The sequence below is a fragment of the Homo sapiens genome, chromosome 19 (genome assembly GCF_000001405.40).
Source record: "Homo sapiens chromosome 19, GRCh38.p14 Primary Assembly".
In the NCBI taxonomy this organism is placed as follows: Eukaryota; Metazoa; Chordata; class Mammalia; order Primates; family Hominidae; genus Homo; species Homo sapiens.
The window spans coordinates 40420444-40439871 of NC_000019.10; the positions used below are offsets into that span (position 1 = coordinate 40420444).

General features: G+C 51.1%; 1 protein-coding gene across 1 annotated transcript, besides 10 other annotated features; it reads right to left on the reverse strand.

Moving 5' to 3' along the window:
- Window positions 250–750: an enhancer, noted in NCBI's record as "H3K27ac hESC enhancer chr19:40926600-40927100 (GRCh37/hg19 assembly coordinates)". NCBI's record gives its function as "activates a minimal SCP1, AML or CMV promoter by ChIP-STARR-seq in primed H9 embryonic stem cells {active_cell/tissue: H9 hESC(primed)}" and the evidence as "EXISTENCE:reporter gene assay evidence [ECO:0000049][PMID:30033119]".
- Window positions 416–535: an enhancer, noted in NCBI's record as "active region_14653". NCBI's record gives its function as "activates an Ori minimal core promoter by ATAC-STARR-seq in GM12878 lymphoblastoid cells {active_cell/tissue: GM12878}" and the evidence as "EXISTENCE:reporter gene assay evidence [ECO:0000049][PMID:35858748]".
- Window positions 826–915: a silencer, noted in NCBI's record as "silent region_10623". NCBI's record gives its function as "represses an Ori minimal core promoter by ATAC-STARR-seq in GM12878 lymphoblastoid cells {active_cell/tissue: GM12878}" and the evidence as "EXISTENCE:reporter gene assay evidence [ECO:0000049][PMID:35858748]".
- SERTAD1 (SERTA domain containing 1) lies at window positions 1146–5549 on the reverse strand. Its single transcript, NM_013376.4, has 2 exons — window positions 5424–5549; window positions 1146–3103 (listed from the first exon to the last, which is right to left on the reverse strand). The coding sequence occupies exon 2, from the start codon at window positions 3101–3103 to the stop codon at window positions 2393–2395; it is 711 nt and encodes a 236-aa protein (NP_037508.2). The 5' UTR covers window positions 5424–5549; the 3' UTR covers window positions 1146–2392.
- Window positions 4072–4874: an enhancer, noted in NCBI's record as "H3K27ac hESC enhancer chr19:40930422-40931224 (GRCh37/hg19 assembly coordinates)". NCBI's record gives its function as "activates a minimal SCP1, AML or CMV promoter by ChIP-STARR-seq in naive H9 embryonic stem cells {active_cell/tissue: H9 hESC(naive)}" and the evidence as "EXISTENCE:reporter gene assay evidence [ECO:0000049][PMID:30033119]".
- Window positions 4917–5006: a silencer, noted in NCBI's record as "silent region_10624". NCBI's record gives its function as "represses an Ori minimal core promoter by ATAC-STARR-seq in GM12878 lymphoblastoid cells {active_cell/tissue: GM12878}" and the evidence as "EXISTENCE:reporter gene assay evidence [ECO:0000049][PMID:35858748]".
- Window positions 12797–13625: an enhancer, noted in NCBI's record as "H3K27ac-H3K4me1 hESC enhancer chr19:40939147-40939975 (GRCh37/hg19 assembly coordinates)". NCBI's record gives its function as "activates a minimal SCP1, AML or CMV promoter by ChIP-STARR-seq in primed H9 embryonic stem cells {active_cell/tissue: H9 hESC(primed)}" and the evidence as "EXISTENCE:reporter gene assay evidence [ECO:0000049][PMID:30033119]".
- Window positions 12797–13780: a biological region, named in NCBI's record as "H3K27ac-H3K4me1 hESC enhancer GRCh37_chr19:40939147-40939975".
- Window positions 13301–13380: an enhancer, noted in NCBI's record as "active region_14654". NCBI's record gives its function as "activates an Ori minimal core promoter by ATAC-STARR-seq in GM12878 lymphoblastoid cells {active_cell/tissue: GM12878}" and the evidence as "EXISTENCE:reporter gene assay evidence [ECO:0000049][PMID:35858748]".
- Window positions 13491–13780: a silencer, noted in NCBI's record as "silent region_10625". NCBI's record gives its function as "represses an Ori minimal core promoter by ATAC-STARR-seq in GM12878 lymphoblastoid cells {active_cell/tissue: GM12878}" and the evidence as "EXISTENCE:reporter gene assay evidence [ECO:0000049][PMID:35858748]".
- Window positions 14859–15123: a transcriptional cis regulatory region, noted in NCBI's record as "candidate enhancer chr19.4185 targeted for multiplex CRISPR interference". NCBI's record gives its function as "positively regulates DLL3 gene expression in K562 cells {active_cell/tissue: K562}" and the evidence as "EXISTENCE:mutant phenotype evidence [ECO:0000015][PMID:30612741]".

Below are 19428 nucleotides of genomic sequence, written 5' to 3' on the forward strand. Positions count from 1 at the left end.
TGGGCGACAGAGCGAGAATCCATCTCAAAAAATAATAAATAAATAAATAAATAAAAATAAGAATAAAAATAAAATCAGTTGGGCGTGGTGGCGTGCACCTGTAACCCCAGCTAATTGGGAGGCTGACGCGGGAGGATTGCTGAAGCCCAGGAATTCGAGGCTATAGTGAGCTATGATCGCGCCACTGCACTCTCCAGCCTGGGCGACAAAGCGAGACCCCGTCTCTAAAAAAAAAAAAAAAAGAAAAAGAAAAGAAAGAAACAGGCCCGCAGAGTGTTGTAAACAGAGGGCGTTCATGATCCCTCGACCACTGGACAGATGTCCGGGGAACCCAAGACGGCGGCACCGCAGAGCCCGACTGGGCACCAGGGGGCGGTGCTGAGCTCAGCCCAGGCGCCCAAGTTTTGAGTCTGCGGCAAAGCAGTCCGAGTCCCATTTGCCCGGGGCTGGAGTCACTCGGGGTTGGAGTCAGGCGCCTGGAAGACCCTCAGCCTGGACGACAGCTCCCCGCAGGCCATTTTCACCCGCTTCCGCGGCCCGCCTCATCCACTTCCAGAAATGGGCACAACTTCCTCTGCTCCTCCAGGAAGCGCCACTCTGCCCGCCCCTTCCCGGCCCCTGGGGCCGACCCAGGCTCCCCATCTGGCCCAGCTCCACTCCTGCCTCTGCCTCCCCGAGGCTTCTGGCCAGAAGCGAGGCTCTGGGACCCCACGATGGCGGCGTTTCCCTCACTCAAGGCCCCGCTGGCCCCTCGGGTCACCGTCCAGCCCCCTGCGCCTCTCTCCATGCGCACCCGCAGTTTTCACGGTGACACTCCCTCCCCTCCGTGCACCCCCCCTCAGGCTCCGCCCTGTCCCTGCGGCCGTCAGGAAGGACGCAGCCTGGGTCCCGTGCCAGGCCGCTGAGTGTGCGGCCCCTCCCAGCCAGGCCTGGAATGCGGCTGGACCGCGGGGGCGGCCGCTGACACCCGGCGCTCCAGCCAGGCCCAGCACACGGGCAGGTGGCCCCAGCTCGTCCGGGTCTGGGTTTCTTCTAGAAGGAAGGCACAGCTGCCTGCCCTGAGCTCCCTCTCTGCAGTCCAGCTACCAAGCCTAGTGGCTTTATTTCAGACACAGCTCCAAGCGTCCCTATCCTTTGCCCAGAGATTTAAGACCAGGAGTGAATTTTATTTTTAAAAATGGGCTGTTGTCCCCCTTTCCTCCCCCATTTTCCTGGAGAGCCGACTCTCAGGGCTCCTTGGAGAGGATCTGTCCAGGGTCCAGGTTTTGTGTTTTTATTTCGGGACCATTCTGAAAGCAATCTCCCCTTCGCTCCTCAATAAATACAGGTAGACTCCAGGCGAGGACTTGCTTTCATTTTTAAAAAGTTGCCTTGACTTCCTGCTAGCAAAGAAAAGAAATAAAATTTAAGAAAAAAAAAAAAAGGCCAGGCACAGTGGCTCACGCCTGTAATCCCAGCACTTTGGGAGGCTGAGGCAGGCAGATCACGAGGTCAGAAGATGAAGACCATCCTGGCTAACACGGTGAAACCCTGTCTCTACAAAAAATATAAAAAATTAGTCGGTCCCAGCTAATTGGGAGGCCGAGGCAGGAGAATCGTTTGAACCTGGGAGGTGGAGGTTGCAGTGAGCCGAAGTCACGCCACTGCACTCCAGCCTGGGCGACAGAGTAAGAATCTGTCTTAAAAAAAAAAGAAAGAAAAAAAAAAAGTGGCCTGGTAGGAGGATCGCTTGAGCCCAGGAGTTTGAGGCTGTAGTGAGCCATGATCAGACCACTGTACTTCAACCTGGGTGACAGAGCGAGACCCTATCTCAAAAAAAAAAAAAAAAAAGTTCATAATTTAAAACCCACCTCAAGTGATAATCTTGGAACCTTGGTTTTCTCACCTGTAAAATAGGGATGATAATACTACCGATCTTGTAGGGCTGTTATAGGATTAAATGAGTTAACACAGTGACGTGCTTAGAAACTGTGCCTCGTACACAGCCTACGCCCAATAAAATGTTTGATGTTTTTATCTCGCCTTCACATTTGCCCAGAGACAAAGCAGCACACGGATTTGAGATTTCCCAGGACTGGCTTTAATTTGAAAAATCTGATTGGGGTCTCTTCCCGTATCAGAGAAGGAACAGCCCAAGCTATGACCCCAGGGCCAGGGAATTCAGTCCCCACCAGACCCTGTCATTCCATCACTAGGGGGTAATTCCAGGCTCCCCCTGCCAGCCCTGAGACAGGAGGACGGATGTGAAGTTGCCCAGGACTAGATTCTGTCTCTCCAAAGTGGCCCAAGCCCTGTTCTCTGTACTAGGGAAGCCAGCTGTGTCTTTTCGAGGACAGTTGGTCCAGCCAGCAGGCTCAGTTCAGATACCAGACAACCATTCCAGCACGAGGGCTCAGCGCCCTGGCCCCGGCGGTCGCTCCAGTGCCTGTGTGCCCACCAGCACATCCATGAGGTAGTCCAATTCGGCCTCGTCCAGCTCCGGAGCTTCCTCCTTGCCCGGCCCATCCTCAGGGCCTGGTTTGAGGCCCTCAGAGGCTGGTGCCCAAAGTTCATTGTCATACATAGAGGTGTCAATATCCTCAAACAGGCCCTCAAGCCCATCGTCCAGTAGACAGCCAGTGGCTGGGCCCAGCAGGTCCAAGGCACCCAGGCTGGGCGCTGCTCCCCCGATGCTACGGCCTGGTGGCCCCTCGTCTGCCAAGGGTTGGGGAGCCTGACTCAGGCCCTCAATGTGGCTGAGGTCCTCCAGGAGGCTGGCCATGGAGGCTGAAAGGGCAGCGTCCGAGCTTGCCAGTAAGTTGTCAGCCACACTGGGGGCTGCAGGTGGGCTAGGCACAGGTGGCAGGGCAGCCGCGGGTGCCATGGACGCCTGGATGCGCCGCAGAGTGTTCACGACCAGCACCAGGTGCCGCAGGTCCGGCTCACTCTGCTGCAGGCTGTGGTGGAGCTTGAGCACTGAGAGGTCAAAGAGGGAGCTAGAGGCCACGGCCGGGGGTGCCTGTGCCACCGCTGTGTGGCCAGGATCTAGCCACCAGGAGTCGACTGCCAGAGGTTCCTTCTCCTCCTCCTCCTCCCGTTTCCGCTTCAGACCCTTGCTCAGCATCTGCAGAGGGCAGGGAGTTATGGAGTTATAGTCAGTTATAGAAAACAAATGTTAAGTTCAAAGCCTGGATCTGACAGTTGCTGCAGGTAGGATCTTGGGGAAGTCACTTAACCTCTCTGTGCCTAGCTTTTCTTAGGGAACTTTAAAGATATAGACAATTTTTATTTAACTGTATATGTATATTTATAGATTTTTTTTGAGATGGAGTCTCGCTCTGTTGCCCAGGCTGGAGTGTAATGCCGTGATCTCAGCTCATTGCAACCTCTGCCTCACAGGTTCAAATGATTCTCGTGCCTCAGCCTCCCCAAAAGCTAGGATTACAGGCACATGCCACCACACCCGGCTAATTTTTATATTTTTAGAAGAAGCATGGTTTCACCATGTTGGCCAGGCTGGTCTCGACCTCCTGGACCTCAAGTGATCCGCCCACCTCTGCCTCACAAAGTGCTGGGATTACATGCGTGAGCCACCGCGCCTGGCCTATAGACTTCTTAAATTTTAAATTTTATATTTAAGTATATTTATAGACTTTTTTATCTGAAAAAATAAAGATGGGGTCTCACTATATTGCCCAGGCTGGTCTCAAACTCCTGGCCTGAAGCGATCCTCCCCCCTCAGTCAATAAGTACTTTTTTTTTTCCCTTTTATTTTTTTGTAGAGACATGGTCTCACTATGTTGCCCAGGGTGGTCTCAAACTCCTTGCCTCAAGCCATCCTCCTTCCTCAGCCTCCCAAAGTACTGAGATTACAAGTGTGAGCTGCCTCACCCTGCCAATAAGTACACTTAATGATAACATTATTATTTCTTCAGTGAACCATGTGGAATGGCCAATATTCAACTTTTTCCCCTACAAAAGCAGCTGTTTCACATATTTTATTATAATAACATAATTATATCTAAATAAGTTATAATATTATAAATACTAAACTAGTTTCACGTAGTTTAATATTTATTGTCTACTATGACTATGTTTCAAACAGTAAATAAATAAGGAAACACAGGAAATGTACAGAGAATTACAGGAAGACACTAAAAGTTCCTAGAGACCTTTTAGATCATCAGAGAAGGCTCCTGTAAGGAGGTGACATTTGAATGGAGCCCTCAGGCCAGAGAAGTCAGCCATGGGAGACCCTGGGAAAAGCATTCCGGGAGGAGGGAACAACAAAAAAAGGCAGAGAAAAGCCCAGAGGCTGGATGGGCTTGAACTGGAAAGAGACCAGCATGGGTGGCACACAGAGAGTGACATGGTAGGAGACCAGATTGGGGAGCAGCTAGGGGAACGGGCACAAGCCAGGTCACAGAAAGCCACATATGCAGAAGTAGGGAGTTTGGATTTTATCCTGAGTGTGGTGGGCAGTCATTAAAGGAATTTGAGCAGGGAGGGAATGGTGCTGTGAGCTGATTAGGTTTCCGGAAGATCCCCCCCATGGCTGCTTCGAGGAAGACTGTGGGGGGCAAAAAGAGGGGGGATCTGAGACCCACTGGTAGGCTGTACTCGTTTGGGACGGACGATGGTGATGGCCTGGAGTAGGAGCTGGTAGTGGCATGGAAGGAAGTCGGTCGAGTCAGGACTTATTTGGGAGGCAGAATAGACAGGGCTTGTCGGGAAATCGTGATCGGCACCGGGTTCAGTCACTGAGATAAGTTTGAGGGTCCACTGTTCTTGGAGTGGCGGGGGTAGGGCTGGAGTTTTGGACTCCTGGCGCTACCTACTTTTTTGGGCCAGGAAGACTGTAGAGTCCAGTTTCGGAACCCTGCCTAGCAAGATTTTAAGAATGGCCCACCACACTACTCAAAACAGGGTCTTCGTCCCCTTCCCCGCAGTCCGGGGAGTCCGGAACCGCAGGAATTCCGCCCCCACCCCCGACTCCGCCCCCGGGTCCCGGCGCCCCCTAGCGGTGCCCAGGCCGGCTTTCCCCCGGGGATTCTGGCCCCTCTGACCCCAGGACCCCTTCTACTGCCCCGATTCCCGGCTGTGATTCCTGCCGGCCTCCCGGCGCCGTGCGAGCCGGGACCCCTGGCGGGCTGTTCTCTGCGCCCGGCCTCCGCTCGCTTCCGGCAGTGGAGGCGGCTCCTCCCGAAGCGGCGGCGGCGGGGGCGGGTGAGTCACGCAGCCGGAGCCAAGAAGCCGGCGCCTCCGCCCCCTTCTCGGACTGCGGCGTGATTCACCCGGCCCGGCCGGGGCAGACAGCACGTAGAGGTCCGTGCGTCTCGATCCCGGGCAGCCCCGGCGGGCACCTGTCGGACCCAGGGATCGAACTCTGTGAAGGACCCGGCCGCTGGTAGCCCTTCTGTTCCCAGGCCCCTTCATTTACATACCTTGCTCACTAGCGGCCAATCAGAACGAAGAGGTAGCCACCCACAACCAATCAGGAAACGGCGGCGGCAGCATCGCTTGTTGGCTGTCCTCCGGAAACCCGCGCCTGGGTCGCGAGACGCAGTTCTGACTCCGGCTCACGACTCCAGACTCCTAACTACCCTTAGCGACCGCCCACTCTCGTGGCTGCCCCGCCCTCCGCCCCAGGGATTGGCCCTGCATGGTGATGGGCGGAGCTTGTAGGGGGCGGATTCTGAAGGAGGGGCTTCAGGGCGCATGCCCGGGCAGCTGCGCGAGTGAGGGGTGGAAAGAGGTGGCTTTTTACTCCGGGGAACGGTGGCGAGTGGGGGCTTTTGCCTCTCAAAATACGAGCCCCTCACAACTACCCATGCACCTGCCAAACCCGGCAATTAAGCTTCTTACACATCCAGCCCCGACAGGGGTCTACACTACAGATAATGCCCGGGTTCAAATTCCGACTCCGGATTCCCCACTCACTGGATGCGTGACCTTGGAAAAATGATCAACCTCTTCAAGCTACACAAAGTTAAATGGGGATCGTCTTGCCTACCTCTTGACAGGATACTTTAAGTAGGATCGTATCTATAAGAACACAATACCACACTCAAGCAATGCTGGACAGTTGGACTTAATTGTGGTTAAAGGCGGGAGTGAGGTGGGAGTGCGATACCAACGGAATCACATCCCGGGCTCCATTCCCTAAGCAGCTGTGTGACCTGCGGCAAGTGTTTTAATCCCTTCTGGTCTGTTTCTCCTTTAAAATGAGAGAAAATAGCGCCTAGTTTACAGGATTGTTTTTAAGGATTAAATTAATTCATGAAAAATCTTCAGAGTGGGGTGCAACATGTTTTGTGTTTTTTTTTTTTTTTTCATTTTATTTATTTATTTATTTATTTATTTGAGACAGATTCTCACTCCGTCGCCCAGGCTGGAGTGCAGGGGCACGATCTCGGTTCACTGTAACCTCCGCCTCCCAGGTTCAAGCAATTATCCTGCCTCAGCCTCCCGAGTAGCTGGGACTACAGGCGTGCGCCACCACGCCCGGTTAATTTTTGTATTTTTAGTAGAGATGGGGTTTCACCATGTTAGCCAGGCAGGTCTCAAACTCCTCACCTCAGGTGATCCGCCCTCCTCGGCCCCTGAGTGTTGGGATTACAGGCGTGAGCTACCGCGCCCAGCTGCTTATTATTTTTTTCTTTACTTTTTATTTTATTTTATTTTGCTTTTGAGACAGGGTCTCGCTCTGTCACCCAGGCTGAAGTGCAGGGGTGCCATCTCGGCTCACTGCAGCCTCCCAGGTTCAAGCCATCCTCCTGCCTCAGACCCCCAAGCAGCTGGGACTACAGGCGCACACCACCATGCCTGGTTAGCAACGTTGTTTCTTTGTTAGTAGTAATAGCTGTTGTAATAAGACAAGCTCTTAGTTCAAGGTGGATAGACATGCAGGATGGGGCTAGAGGTAGACAGGGTATAATACTCCTCCCATGGCCGGATGCAGTGGCTCACGCCTGAATACTCTCTCACCTAGATTTAATTGATAGTTGTTAGCTAGGCAACAACTGTAATCCAGTACTTTGGGAGGCCAAGGCAGGAGGGTCACTTGAGTCCAGGAGTTCACTTGAGTCCAGCCTGGGCAACACAGTGAGATCTCATCACTACAAAAAAATTTAAGAATTAGCCAGGCGTGGGCCGGGCGTGGTGGCTCACGCCTGTAATCTCAGCATTTTGGGAGGCCGAGGTGGGCAGATCACGAGGTCAGGAGTTCGAGACCAGCCTGGCCAACATGGTAAAACCCTGTCTCTACTAAAAATACAAAAAATCAGCCAGGTGTGGTGGCAGGCGCCTGTAATCCCAGCTACTCAGGAGGCTGAGGCAGGAGAATAGCTTGAACCCAGGAGGCAGAGGTTGCAGTGATCCAAGACAGCGCCACTGCACTCCAGACTGGGCAACAGAGCAAGACTCTGTCTCAAAAAAAAAAAAAAAAAAGGATTAGCCAGGCGTGGTAGCATGTTCTTGTGGTCCCAGCTGCTTGTGGGGCTAAGGTGGGAGGATTCCTTGAGCCCAGGAGGTCAAGGCTGCAGTGAGCCATGTTCATGCCGCTGCACTCTAGTCTGAGTAACAGAACAAGACCCTGTATCAAAAAAAAAAAAAAAGAAAAAAGTAGTAGTTGGTAACATTGTGCTAAGTTCCCTTTATCTACATATGTGTATATATTGTTTCTTTTGCTAAACCTTTGGAGAGTAATTGCAAGCATCTTGATATTCTACCCTTAACAGCTCAGGAGGCATCTCTTAAGAATAAGGACATTAGGCCCTGTGCGTTGGCTCACACCTGTAATCCCAGCACTTTGGGAGGCTAAGGCGAGTGGATCACCGGAGGTCAGGAGTTCGAGACCAGGCTAACCAATATGATGAAACCCCGTCTCTACTAATAATACAAAAATTAGCCGGGCATGGTGGCATGTGCCTGTAATCCCAGCTACTCAGGAGGCTGAGACAGGAGAATTGCTTGAACCCAGGAGGTGGAGGTTGCAGTGAGCTGAGATTGCGTCATTGCACTCCAGCCTGGGCAACAAGAGCAAACTCCACCTAAAAAAAAAAAAGAATAAGGACATTCATGTACAAGCCACAAAAATACTATTTCACATCTAATAGAATCAAGAATTCCACAATATCACCTAATCAAATCTCTCCAACTGACCCAAGAATATCCTTTATAGTTGCTTTCTTTTCTCCAAAATCAGGATCCAATGAAGGTTCACATGCTAATTTGGTTGTAATGAAGAAATTACATACTATATTTTATTCTCGAATATTCCCCCACCCAAATCCCTTTTTTTTTTTTTTTTTTTTTTGAGACAGAGTCTTGCTCTGTCGCCCAGGCTGGAGTGCAGTGGCATGATCTTGGCTCACTGCAACCTCCATTTCCGGGTTAAAGTGATTCTCCTGCCTCAGCCTCCCGAGTAGCTGGGATTATTGGCGTGCGCCACCACGCCTGGCTAATTTTCTTGTGTTTTTAGTAGAGACAGGGTTTCGCCATGTTGGCCAGGCTGGTCTCAAACTCCTGACCTCAGGTGATCCACCCGCTTTGGCCTCCCAAAGTGCTGGGATTACAGGCATGAGCCACCACACTCAGCCTCAAATCCTTTTTGATGTTTTGTTGACATTGAATTTCTGGCAAAACAGACTAGTCATGCTGCATAGTGTCCCACATTCTGGATTTGTCTGACTGTGTTTAATTTGTTCCTCTCTTTTTCCAATAAGCTGGAGGTTGGGTCTAGGGGCCTGGTGAGATTCTGCTTATGCAGTGAACAGGGAGACTCCACAGGGTGTGTCCTAATCCTTATTAATGTACTTCCTAATCCTAACGCATTATAGTAGTTGGCACCAGTGTCAGGATGTCCCACCATTGGTAATGCAGAGTTTCATCACGTGATTAAGATTGTGAGGGTTACATCGTAAAATAAATTTATCCTTTCTAGTTAGCAAATAACCTTTGGGATGATGCTTTAGAGCCTGTGAAGATCCTATCTCCAAGATGTATGTGGTGGCTCATGCCTGTAATGCTGGCACTTTGGGAGGCCAAGGCGGGAACTTAAGCCCAGGAGGTTTTGTGATTTTTTTTTTTTTTTTTTTGAGACGGAGTCTCACTTTGTCGCCCAGGCTGGAGTGCAGTGGCACGATCTCGGCTCACTGCAAGCTCCGCCTCCTGGGTTCATGCCATTCTCCTGCCTCAGCCTCCTGAATAGCTGGGACTACAGGTGCCCGCCACCTCGCCCGGCTAATTTTTTTTCCTTTTTTTTTTTTTTGTATTTTTAGTAGAGACGGGGTTTCACCATGTTAGCCAGGATGGTCTCAATCTCCTGACCTCGTGATCCGCCCGCCTTTGCCTCCCAAAGTGCTGGGATTACAGGCGTGAGCCACCGCACTTGGCCAGTTTTTTTTTTTTTTTTTTTTTTTTTTGAGATGGAGTCTTGCTCTGTCGCCCAGGCTGGTGTGTAATGGCGTGGTCTTGGCTCACTTCAACTTCCGCCTCCCGGGTTCAAGGATTCTCCTGCCTCAGCCTCCTGAGTAGCTAGGATACAGGTGCATGCCACTATGCCTGGCTAATTTTTGTATGTTTAGTAGAGACAGGGTTTCACCATGTTAGCCAGGCTGGCCTCAAACTCCTGACCTCAGGTGATCTGCCCACTTTGGCCTCCCAAAGTGCTGGGATTACAGGCATGAGCCACCTTGGCCTCCCAAAGTGCTGGGATTACAGGCGTGAGCCACCACATCTGGCTTTTTTTTTTTGGGGGGGGGGATGGAGTCTCTGTCACCCAGGCTGGAGTGCAGTAGCACAATCTCAGCTCACTGCAACCTCCGCCTCCCGCGTTGAACTATTCTCCTGCCTCAGCCTCCTGGGTAGCTGGGATTATAGGCGTGCACCACCATGCCTGGCTAATTTTTGTATTTTCAGTAGAGACGGGGTTTCAACATGTTGGTCAGGCTGGTATCGAACTCCACCCACCTCGCCCTCCCAAAGTGCTGGGATTACAGGCATGAGCCACTGTGCCTGGCCAGAGCCCAGGAGTTTGAGACTAGCCTGGGCAACACAGCAAGACCCAATCTCCACAAAATACTGGTTTTTGTTTATGTTTTGTTTGTTTTTGAGACGGAGTCTCGCTCTGTCGCCAGGCTAGAGTGCAGTGGCACTATCTACAGAATACTGTTTTTAAAAACTTATCCTAGCATGGTGGCATGCACCTGCAGTCCCAGCTTCTTGGGAGGTTGAGGTGGATCACTTGAGCCCAGGAGTTTGAGGCTGCAGTGAGCCATGATTGCACTAGTGCACGCCAGCCTGGGTGAAAGAGTGAGACCCCAAAAGATCCTGTTTTCCACTAACTTTTCACCCAACTGTTTGAGCATTCATTGACAATTGCTGCCTGAATTAACTACCATAGTTAGCATTTTTGAGAACTTACTTTGGCCAGGAGCTTTATTCAAAACTAAAAGCTCTTCCCACAGCTCAGGAATTAACAAATGAGCTACTTGAAGAAGGTTAAGTCTCATTGCCAGTTTATGGGACGAGTATTTTTTTTTTTTTTTTTGAGACGGAGTTTCGCTCTTGTTGCCCAGGCTGGAGTGCAATGGCACAGTTTTGGCTCACCACAGCCTCTGTCTCCTGGGTTCAAGAAATTGTCCTGCCTCAGCCTCCCGAGTAGCTGCGATTACAGGCATGCACCACCACGCCTGACCAATTTTGTATTTTTAGTAGAGACGGGGTTTCTCCCTGTTGGTCAGGCTGGTCTTGAACTTCTGACCTCAGGTGATCCGCCTGCCTCGGCCTCCCAAAGTGCTGGGATTACAGGCATAAGCCACCATGCCCGGTCCACGCCTGGCTCTTAAATTTTTTTGTAGTGATGAGATCTTACCATGTTGCCCAGGCTGATCTTGAACTCCTGGACTCAAGTGACCCTCTTGCCTTGGCCTCACAAAGTACTGGGATTATAGTTGTTCCCTGTCCAACAACTATCAAATAAATCTAGGTGAGATAGTATTCAGATGCTCAGAATACTTTTTTTCCCCATCTTTTCTATGTGCTTGAATTTTTAATAATAAAATTAAGGTAAGATGCTAATTAGAACCAGGCCCCCACTAGGCAAATTCACATTTTCTGCCCTCCAGAATCCATTTTTATGGCTGGCAAAAGGGACGCCTGGACCTGGAGTCTCCCAGTGGCTTACTCCAGGTCATACACTGAAGGAAAAGGAAATTTTCCTTCATGCTTGTAGTTTCAGCTGCTTCAGAGGCTGAGGTGGGAGGATCGCTTGAACCTGGGAGACAGAGGTTGCAGTGAGCCAGGATCAGGCTGCTGCTGCGCTGTACTCCATCCTGGGCGACAGAGCAAGACTCTGTAAAAAAAAAAAAAACAAAAAACAAAAAACAAAAAACAAGAACAAGAGCTCAGAGGAATCATCTGATTAATATATATTTATTAAGCACCTACTATGTGGTGGCCACTGTTGTAGATGGTGAGGATACAGCACTGGGTAAATTTCACAGAGTCTCCCCTCTCATGGAACAGGGTAGGAGGTGAAGAGAGAAAATATATATGAAAACGAATGCATTCATTGATTTGCAAACATTTATGTCTTGAGCCCCTTTTGTGTGCCAGACACTGTTATAGGCACTGAAGAAAGGGCAGTGAAATTATAGATGAAAATCTCTTATGGGAGCAGATGAACAATAAACAAATTACCTTGGCCGGGCGCCGTGGCTCACGCCTGTAATCCCAGCACTTTGGGAGGTCGAGGCAGGCCGATCACTTGAGGTCAGAAGTTCGAGACCAGCCTGACCAACATGGTGAAACCCCATCTCTACTAAAGATACAAAAGTTAGCCGGGTGTGGTGGCAAGTACCTGTACTCCCAGCTACTTGGGAGGTTGAGGCAAGAGAATTGTTTGAACCCGGGAGGCAGAGATTGCAGTGAGCCGAGATCGTGCCACTGCGCTCCAGCCTGGGTGACAGAGCAAGACTCTGTCCGAAAAAAGAAAAGAAAACAATCTAAACAACAACAACAACAAAAATTGAAAAAAAGACAGCAAATTAAATCAATTTAATTTGCATTTTTAGTAGAGATGGGGTTTCGCCATGTTGATCAGGCTGGTCTCGAACTCCTGACCTCAGGTGATCCGCCCGCCTCGGCCTCCCAAAGTGCTGGGATTACAGGCATGAGCCACCACGTCTGGCCAGTTTTTTTTTAATTTTTTATTTGTAGAAGCAGAGTATCCCCATGTTGCCCAAGCTGGTCTTGAACTCCTGGGCTCGAGTGATCCTCATGCCTCCGATTCCCAAAGTGCTGGGATTACAGGAGTGAGCCACCTGGCCGCCGGGTCTACTTCTTTTGTTTCATCAGGTCTCTGCTGAATTGTCACCTCTTCAGACATAACACATCCTCCTCCCCAAAGCTGCACATCTCTCAGCTCACTGCAACCTCCAATCTCCTGAATTCAAGCAATTCTCCTACCTCAGCCTCCCGAGTAGCTGGGATTACAGGCGCCTGCCACCATGCCCGGCTAATTTTTTTTTTTTTTAATAGAGACGAGGGTTTCATCATGTTGGCCAGACTAGTCTCGAACTCCTGACCTCAAGTGATCCACCCGCCTGGGCCTCTCAAAGTGTTGGGATCACAGGCATGAGCCACTGCACCCGGTCTGCTTTTTTCTTTTCCTTTGCAATTACCTGCTCCTAAGGTACTAGATAATTTGTGTGGTTTTTTTGTTTTGTTTTGTTTTGAAAGTAGCCCGGCGTGATGGCAGGCGCCTGTAGTCCCAGCTACTCGGGAGGCTGAGACAGGAGAATTGCTTGAACCCGGGAGACGGAGGTTGCGGTGAGCCGAGACGGTGCCACTGCCATCTCAAAAAACAAAAACAAAAACAAACAAAAAAATTAGCCGGGCGTGCCTGTAGTTCCAGGTACTTGGAAGGCTGAGGTAGGAGAATCACTTGAACCTGGAGTTTGAAGCTGCAGTGAGCTATGATCGCCCCACTGTACTCCAGCCTGGGCGACAGAGAACGACTCTGTCTCAAAAAACAAACAAACCAAAACAAATGAGAGAGGTAGGAAAACTAGAGGAAGAGCATTCCAGGCAGAGGCGAGAGCCAGTGCAAAGGCTCTGAAGTGCTGCCTGTCAGGAGACAAGGCCAGGGCAGCTGGACTGGGAGCTGCCGGGAAGGAGGTCCGAGAAGTGAGGCCTTTTAGCCTACTCTGTGGACCTTTGTTTTTTACTCCGAGCGGGATGAGAAGACCCTGGAAGATGAATCGATGAGAAAAATAATTTCCGTTTCCGTTCAGTGACTTGAAGAAAACAAAATAAGACGGGATAATCGCCTGTAACCAGGGTGGTCCTAGAGAGAGATTCTTCGAGGCGTTGACATTGGAGCTGGGGCCAGAAAATGGAGACGGAGCCAGGAATTCAAAGGCTGGGGGAAGGGAGAAGAGGAGAGGCCGGGCCTGGGGAAATGAAACCATCGGCGAAGCCACCGGGCCCGGCAGGCCTGGAGAGAAGCCTCCGCCTGCTGGGGAGGGAGGCAGGGAGGGGGGTCGGGAGGCGCGGCCCGCCCCGTCCGGCCTCTGGGGAGGGAGGAGGCGCCAGGCCGGCTCCCGGCCGCGGCCGCCTCCCGGGTACCCCGGCCGGCCCAGGGCGGAGGGTGGGCAGCGGGGAGGGACTGGGCCTTCCCGCCACGCCCAGGGCGGGCCGCGGGCCCATCCCCCGCCGCGGAGGAGGGCAGGTTGGGGAACGTGGACACTGCCCTCGGGGACTCGGTTCCTTCTGCAGGGCCAGCCTTTCCACTTCTGTGGCCAGTTCTTTTTAACAAGTGCGGTGTTAAGGAAGGCGCTGGGCCTCTCGGAGCCTCAGTTTTTTCATCTGGAAAGAGGGTGCTCCTCTTACTGGCCTCATCGCGGTGCTAAGGAACTGTGCGATTCCCCTTCCCAGGGTTATCTTCAGGGCAGGCAGAGAGCTGCAGGGAAAGGGGGAGGGCGGGGCACGGTGGCTCACTTTTTAAACAAAAAGTTTGTTTGTTTGTTTCCAGACGAAGTCTTGCTCTGTCGCCCAGGCTGGAGTGCAGTGGCGCCATCTCGGCTCACTGCAACCTTCGCCTCCCGGGTTCAAGCAATTCTCCTGCCTCAGCCTCCCGAGTAGCTGGGATTACAGGCGCCCGCCACCACACCCGGCTAATTTTCAGTAGAGACGGGGTTTCACCATGTTGGCCAGGCTGGTCTCGAACTCCTAACCTCGTGATCCGCCTGCCTCGGCCTCCCAAAGTGCTGGGATTACAGGCATGATCCACCGCGCCTGGCCTGTTTGTTTTTGAGACGGAGTTTCGCTCTTGTCGCCCAGGCTGGAGTGCAGTGGCCCCATCTCAGCTCACTGCAATCTCCACCTCTCCGGTTCAAGCAATTATCCTGCCTCAGCCTCCGGAGTAGCTGGGATTACAGGCAGCTGCCACCTTGCCCAGATAATTTTTGTATTTTTAGTAGAAATGGGGTTTCACTATGTTGGCGAGGCTGGTATTGAATTCCTGACCTCAAGTAATCCGCCTGCCTCAGCCTCCCAAAGTGCTGGGATTGTAGGAGTGAGCCAGGGCGCCCTACCTGTTTTTGTTTTTGAAACAGGGTCTTGCTCTGTAGCCCAGGCTGGAGTGCAGCAGTGGGATTTCCTCTCACTGCAACCTCTGCCCATTATGGGCTCAAGCGATCCTTCTACCTCAGCCTCACTAGTAGCTGGGACTACAGGTGAGCACCACCACACCCAGTTTTTTTGTTTTTTTTGTTTTTTTGGTTTTTTTTTTGAGTAGAGACAGGACCTCAGGGCCTTGCCATGTTACCCCAGGCTGGTCTCAAGCTCCTGGGCTCAAGCAATCTGACTGCCTTGGCCTCCCAAAGTGCTGGGATTACAGGGGTGAGCCAACGTGCCTGGCCCTTCTTCAGGTTTTTACCCAAATGTCACCTTGTCTCAGACGCCCTATCTGGCCATCCTATGTAAATTGCAACACCCTCCTCACTCCTCTGCTCCCCCCTGCCCCCACAGCATTTATCACCACCTGGCTGACTTACACATTTTCACTTCTTTTTTTTTTTTTTTTTTTGAGACAGAGTCTTGCTCTGTCACCCAGGCTGGAGTGCAGTGGTGTGATCTCGGCTCACTGCAACCTCCGCCTCCCGGGTTCAAGTGATTCTCCTGCCTCAGCCTCCTGAGTAGCTGGGACTACAAGTGTGCATCACAATACCCAGCTAATTTTTGTATTTTTAGTAGAGATGGGGTTTTACCATGTTGGCCAGGCTGGTCTCGAACTCCTGACCTCAAATTATCCACCCACCTTGGCCTCCCAAAGTGTTGGGATTACAGGCGTGAGCCCCCACACCCGGCCTTATTTTTCTTTTTATTTACTTAATTATTTTTGAGACATAATTTTACTCTGGTTGCCCAGGCTGGAGTGCAGTGGCCTGATCTCAGTTCACTGCAACCTTCACCTCTCAGGTTCAAGCGATTCTCCTGCCTCAGCCTCTGGAGTAGCTGGGATTACAGGCGCCGGCCACCATGCCCAGCTAATTTTTTTGTATTTTTGGTAGAGAGGGGGTTTCACTGTGTTGGCCAGTCTGCTCTTGAACTCCTGACCTCAGGTGGTCCACTCGCCTTGGCCTCCCAAAGTGCTGGGATTGCAGGTGTGAGCCACAGCGCCCGGCCCTATCTAACTAACTATCTATCTATCTATCTATCTATCTATCTATCTATCTATCTATTTGGAGTGGGAGTCTCACTCTGTCGCTTAGGCTGGAGTGCAGTGCTGTGATCACAGCTCACTGTAACCTCCAACTCCTGGGCTGAAGAAGGGATCCTCCCACCCGAGTCTTCTGAATAGCTGGGACTAGCGTGCCCAGCTAATTTTTTTTTAAAATTGTTTTAGAGATGTGGTCTTGCTATGTTGCCCAAAGTGGTCTTGAATTCTTGGCCTCCAATAATCCTCCTGCCTCAGCCTCCTGAGTTACTGGGCTCATAGTCACGTGCTGCCATGCCTGGCATTATTTTTCATGTGTATTTCACTCTTCCCCCACTGTTAAATTTCATGAGAGCAGGAATTGTCTATTTTATTTATTTTCCTGCTGAAGAGTGCCAGGTCCACAGCAGGCACTCAATAAATCTGAGCCATTATTGGAATCCTTGGCCTGCCTCAGGCTCCCTGACACTTTGCAGTGTGAGGCAGGTATTACTCCAGATCCTTCAGTTTGGAATATGGTGTATATGAGGAACAGCAGGGAATGGTGTGGTGGGAGTATAAGAGTGAGGGTGTGTAGGGGAGATGAGTTCAGAAAGGTGGGAGGGAAAGTTAGTCATTGCTAGGTCTGGAGTTCATTTTTTTTTTTTTTTTTTTGAGACGGAGTCTTGCTCTGTCACCCAGGCTGGAGTGCAGTGGTGCAATCTCGGCTCACTGCAAGCTCCGCCTCCCAGGTTCACGCCATTCTCCTGCCTCAGCCTCCCGAGTAGCTGGGACTACAGGTGCCCGCCACCTCGCCCGGCTAATTTTTTTGTATTTTTAGTAGAGACGGGGTTTCACCGTGTTAGCCAGGATGGTCTCAATCTCCTGACCTCGTGATCTGCCCGCCTCGGCCTCCCAAAGTGCTGGAATTACAGGTGTGAGCCACCGCACCCGGCCTTTTTTTTTTTTTTTTTTTTTTTTTGAGACAGGACCTCCCTCTGTTGCTCTGTTCCAGATGGAGTGCTGGAGTGCAGTGGTGTTATCTCTGCTCACAGCCTCCATTTCCTGAGCTCGAGCGATCCTCCCACCTCAGCCTCCTGAGTAGGTGGGACTACAAGGGCATGCCATCAGCCCAGCTAATTTTATTTTAGTTTTTTGTAGAGATGGGGTCTCCCTGTGTTGCCCAGGCTGGTCTTGAACTGGACACAAGCGATCTTCCTGCCTCAGCCTCCCAAAATGCTGGGATTACAGGCGTGAACCACTGCACCTGGCCAAGTTTTTCAACAACAAATAATTTTTTTTTTTTTTGAGATGGAGTTTCGCTCTTGTTGCCCAGGCTGGAGTGCAATGGCACGATCTCAGCTCACCACAACCTCCGCCTCCTGGGTTCAAGTGATTCTCCTGCCTCAGCCTCCTGAGTAGCTGGGATTATAGCCATGTGCCACTACGCCTGGCTAATTTTGTATTTTTAGTAGAGACAGGGTTTTTCCATGGTGGTCAGGCTGGTTTCGAACTCCTAGCCTCAGGTGATCCGACCGCCTTGGCCTCCCAAAGTGCTGGGATTATAGGCGTGAGCTACCGTGCCTGACCCTTCAACAACAAATAATTTTGGAGAGTGCAGTTGTGCCAAGCATAGTTCTAGGCACAGACCAACACAACCCTCAGAGTTCCCAGGAGAGTAGGAGGCTACCTATAGATGGGAAATAAGTAACTCGAGATTGGGTAGATGCTACTAAAACAAAATCAGTCCAGGTGCAGTGGCTCATGCCTGTAATCCCAGCACTTTGGGAGGCCGAGGCGGGCGGATCACCTGAGGTCAGGAGTTCAAGACCAGCCTGACCAATATGGAGAAACGTTGTCTCTACTGAAAATACAAAATCAGCTGGGTGTGGTGGCGCATGCCTGTAATCCCAGCTGTTCGAGAGGCTGAGGCAGGAGAATCACTTGAACCCAGGAGGCGGAGGTTGTGGTGAGCCAAGATCGCGTCATTGCACTCCAGCCTGGGCAACAAGAGTAAAACTCCGTGTCAAAAAAAAAAAAAAAAAATTAGCCAGGTGTGGTGGCATGTGCCTGTAATCCCAGCTACTCGGAAGGCTAAGGTAGAAGAATTGCTGGAACTGGGAGGTAGAGGCTGCAGTGAGCCAAGATCATGCCACTACACTCCATTCTAGGAGACAGAGCAAGACTCCATCTCAAAAAAAAAGAAAGAAAGAAAATCAAACAAGTTGTGGTGGGGTGGTGACCCACCTGGATGTGTTGAGCTAGGAAGGGCAAGGAAGACCTCCCTGAGAAGGGGATATTGGGATTGGTGAAGCTATTGGGGAAAATGTCCACTGGGAAAATTTAACAGTTAGGGCAAAGGCCCTGGGGTGAGAAGGAGCTGGGGTCAAGGGAGCCCAGTTGAGTGATGGAGAGAGTGGGAGATGGAACTGAGAAAGTTGTCCGAAGTGAGAATAAGTCAGTCCTTGCAGGTCTTGGTGGAGCTGGCGCTTTATTGAGTGTGTCAAGAAGTCACTGGAGGCTGGGCGTGGTGGCTCATGCCTGTAATCCCAGCACTTTGGGAGGCTGAGATGTGAGGATCGCTTGATTCCAGGAGTTCAAGACCAGCCTGGGCTACATGGCACAACCCCATCTCTACAAAAAATACAAAAATTAGTCAGGTGTGGTCCACGTGCCTGTAGTCCCAGCTACTTGGGAGGCTGAGGCTGAGGTGGGAGAATTGCTTGAGTCCATGAGGTGGAGGTTGCAGTAAGCTGTGATTGTACCACTGCACTCCAGCCTGGGCGACAGAGCCAGAGACCCTGTCTCAAAAGAAAAAAAAAAAAAAAAAGGCACTGAAGGTTTCAAGGAGGAAGACATGATTCAATTGCCATCATATTGGGATGCAGACCTGGTTGCTTACCTTTTATTTTTATTTTTTACAATTCCACAGCAAGTATCACACCTGGTTGCTTTTTTTTTTTTTTTTTTGAGATGGAATCTCGCTCTGTCACTCAGGCTGGAGTGCAGTGGTATGATCTCAGCTCACTGCAACCTGTGCCTCCTGGATTCAAGTGATTCTCCTGCCTCAGCCTCCTGAGTAGCTGGGACCACAGGTGTTTGCCACCATGCCCAGCTAATTTTTTGTATTTTTAGTAGAGACAGGGCTTCGCCATGTTGGCCAGGCTGGTCTCAAACTCCTCACTTCAGGCAATCCTCCCGCCTTGGCCTCCCTAAGTACTGGAATTACAGGCCTGAGCCACCGCGCCTGGCCTGTACCTGGTTGCTTTCTTTAGATCCTCTGGGCCACCTCATTCCTCTCTCTGGATTGGCACCCACCTCTTCAGGTTATCCCTCCACTTTCTGACAATGACCCCTTCAGGTTGAGAAATCTGGCTTTGACCCAGAAACCACAAGCAAAATCCCCATCCTTTCTCCACCCATGGACTATACTCAGGTGTTGTTCCTCCTCGCAGCCCTTCCAGAAAAGTCCCTAATGCTGTGTAGCTCACTTGCTTCATCTCTTCAAAGACCATTGTAAAGGCATAGCCTGTACAGGTATCACATTACCTCTTCCTTCACTTCCTTCACCTCCTTCTCCTCTCCTGTATCTCAGCAGCCTGGGCTCGTACCTCCGAAATAAAGCATCAGCACAGGTCAGGCACAGTGGCTCATGCCTGTAATCCCAGCACTTTGGGAGGCTGAGGCAGGCGGGTCACTTGAGGTTAGGAGTTGGAGACAAGCCTGGCCAACATGGTGAAACTGTC

What these genes read in the sequence shown, in the direction of transcription:
- SERTAD1 (NM_013376.4), bottom strand. Translation starts at nt 3,103, where the DNA reads ATGCTGAGCAAGGGTCTGAAGCGGAAACGGGAGGAGGAGGAGGAGAAG.